The sequence below is a fragment of the Homo sapiens genome, chromosome 10, assembly GCF_000001405.40.
Source record: "Homo sapiens chromosome 10, GRCh38.p14 Primary Assembly".
Lineage (NCBI taxonomy): Eukaryota > Metazoa > Chordata > Mammalia > Primates > Hominidae > Homo > Homo sapiens.
In genome coordinates, this window is record NC_000010.11 from 57100373 (window position 1) to 57103842 (window position 3470).

At 33.4% G+C, this 3470-nt stretch overlaps 1 annotated feature.

The window, feature by feature from the left end:
- Positions 1828 to 2401: an enhancer, noted in NCBI's record as "NANOG hESC enhancer chr10:58861960-58862533 (GRCh37/hg19 assembly coordinates)". NCBI's record gives its function as "activates a minimal SCP1, AML or CMV promoter by ChIP-STARR-seq in primed H9 embryonic stem cells {active_cell/tissue: H9 hESC(primed)}" and the evidence as "EXISTENCE:reporter gene assay evidence [ECO:0000049][PMID:30033119]".

A 3470-nucleotide genomic window follows, 5' to 3' on the forward strand; every position in this document is an offset into this window, starting at 1 on the left:
CTGCCTCAGCCTCCCGATCATCACAACTCTTGATCTTCCATCCAATTGGCATAGGAGTAAAACTTACAGTACCTACTTTTAATAATAAAGCATATGGGTTTATTGCACATTTCCCCTTTAAATTATACTACTATATAATAATAATTATACAAAACACAAGAGAGAAAGTTATATACAACAAAAGGCTTTAGAGGACTAATTTTCAAAGTGCTTAGGAAAGAGCCCATGTTAAAATAATTACTTCAAATGCAAATAACAAATGATTAGATTTAATGTTCACTAAGGAAAGATCGCACACAAAAATGATATGGGTTGATTAAATTTTTTCCACAAAAAAACACCTATAAAGAAAATGTGATGATTAATTTATTGGGATAAAACACTAGGTTCATATAATATAGGAAAATTAATATGTTAATTTTTAAAGCATTAGCTCACATGAATAGACAGTGTACAAACTGTACGGGAGAAACTTTCTGTAAATAAGGGAACAAGGTTTTATATGTGGTTATTCTTTAGTAAAACTGATTAACTACAATGGTTAGAGAACAACTCTTACTATAATTTTTTTAAAAATGTTTTATTTCTCTAGATTATTCTTATATAATCTTAATATTTATTGAGATATAATTGACATTTCATAAACTATGCATATTAAAATGTACAATCTGCCAGTTTTCACCGTTAAGTATGTATCTGTAAAACCATAACCAGTCAAGATAATAAATATACTTATCACTTCCAAAATTTTACTCATGCCCCATTTTAATCCCTTCCTCTTACCCCTTACCCTCATTCCCAGATTGCCACTGATTTGTTTTCTGTCACTATAGATTAGTTTGCATTCTCTATTCTTTAATATATATGAGATAATATAATATATATTATATTTTTCTGGCTTCTCTTCCTCAGCATAATTATTTCTAGATTTGTGTACCTTGTTGCTGCTACCAGTAGCTCATTCCTTTCAACTGATAATGTTTTTGCAATGTAAACAATTTGTTTAATTATTCACTGTTGATGAGTGTTTGAGTTTTTTATAGTTTTGAGTTATTACACATGCAGCTGCTATGGGCATTCACATCTTTGTGCTTTTATTTGGGGATGAGGGTAAATTCTGATGTGTGAAATGGCTAGATTATATGATTATATATATATATATATATATATATATATGCTTAACTTTTAAAGAAATTGCCAAACTGTTATCCAAAGCAGTTGTAACATTTTACATTCTCTGAAAAGTAAATGAGAGCTACAACTTGTTCAGCGTGTGGTCTAGTCACTTGTTTTGCCTCTTTCTTCTTCACTTTTACTCTCCTCTTCTCCCCTGGAATGGTATAAAGAAATAAATGTTAAACAGGTCTGACAACATCACTTACCAACTATGACAATATGGACAAATTTCAGTTTCTTCATCCATTCAATGGAATTTATAATGACTACATAGAAAGGTTATCTTTTCTCCACTAAATTGCCTTTTCACTTCGTTGAAATTGAATTGTCCATACATGTGTTGGTTTGTCTCTGTTCAATTAATTTCTTTGCCTACAGTTATTCAGTACCACACATCTTGATTACTGTATCTTTAGAAGTCTTGAAATCAGGTATTAATTGTCACACCTTAAGAAAGGGATTTTCTGACAGCCTGTGTGAAGTTGAATTTCTGTGACTCTATCCTCATTTATTTTCTTATATAGAATTTTCCTCTGTCTTTGTTGCTGCCTTTGTCTTCCTCTATCAAATACAAATTCTTATAACATATTATCAAACATATGTATTTGTGTAATATGTACTATACAGCAAATTTATAAGCAAATGAACATAAAATAATTTTGTTTATTCATTTATTTGCATTTAATCTGCTTTCCTTCCTAGAATGTAATATCCTGAAATAGGGATATTTCAAAATCATAAATCTATACATGCAAGGTGTTCATTGGTTCAGCCTAAAGAGGCAGGATACCTTGAAGCAGTGGTGAAGGGGGTGGTGCAGGGAGGTTAGTGCTTACAGGTCATAGGTGGATTCAAAGATTTTCTGAGTGGCAATTGGTTGAAAGAGATAAGCTTTGTCTAAAGACTTGAAGTCAGTAGAAAGAAATGCCTGAGCTAAGATAAGGGAGATTGTGGAGGCCAAGGTTTTTGTTATGTAAATAAAGTTTCCAGGAAGTAGCCTTCATAGAGAATAGACGGTAAATGTCTCTTTTTAGATCTTAAAAGTGTCAGACTCTCATTTAGTCTCTCCTAGATCTGGGAAAGACCTAGAAATGTAAGGTCTTGCTGAATTAATGGAAATTCTCTACAGATGCAAATGGAAATTCTCTACAGATGCAAATTTCTCCCACAAGAGAAAACTTTGCAGAGCCATTTCAGAATATGTTAAAGTATATATTTTGGGGTAAAATATTTGTATTTCCCTCAGGGTCTGCTATCTGTCATGCAATGCTATAACAGAGTGAGGTTAAAATCTGGTATCTTATTTCCACGAAGACTCAATTTTGTCAGTCTTATAATCTCTATTTCAATGTTAATTCCTGTCAGTTGTGTCTGAACTTAAAAAAGGAGAATGTATAACAACCTGGAATTAGACTTTTTGCAGCTGCAGGGGTTTCAGTCAAATCTAATAGAAGATGAACCAAAATTGGTCAAATATAATGGAAGATGAACTGGAACAAACAAACAAAAAAAAAGAAAAGAAAAAAAGTGATAGCACAATTTACATATAGTTGAGATCTTGGAGTGTGAGGAAAAGTTGTAGAAAACTAACAATAAACCTTTATCTTAAGCTACCAAATCACAAAACAAAACCCCAAACAAGCTCCTTACCCAGAGAATAGAGCCTATGTTGACGATTTGCTCTCCCCTTCGCAGAAGCAGGAAACTCCCTGAAAATGAGTTCTGTGGCAGAATAAACCTAAGATCTCAGCCAAAATACAGAGATTAAGGATCTCTGGAAGGGGATGCTACTAGTCCTCAGCAAGTCATCCAATCAGTCAGAGTAATTAAGAGCTTCTGCTGGTACCAGCCCCAATAGGAGGGTTGCTGCAGGCCAAGAGCCAAACCCCATTTAAAGAATCCCTCTGTGACTACAAAAATGTAAACCAAAAGTTGACTAAGGTATATCTGAATTTAAAGGTTTAATTTGACGAAGTTGAGGAGACACCTGGGAAAAAGAAGCACAAGTCCCAGTAGGATCTGCACCCTATGCTTTTTTCAGATAGGATTTTGAGAACTTTAATATTTAAAAGGGAAAGAGTGAGCAGGATGGGAAGGAGAGAAGAAAAAAATAAAGGGAGACTGGGTAGGCAATGAGGTAAGTGGTTACATTCTTGTGAGACTCTGATTAGCACTCAGTGAATCTACATTTTACATGTAGAAAGAAAGGAGTGAAGAGAATGGTCAATTATGCATTCATCTTTTTTTTTTTTATTATACTCTAAGTTTTAGGGTACATGTGCACATTGTGCAGG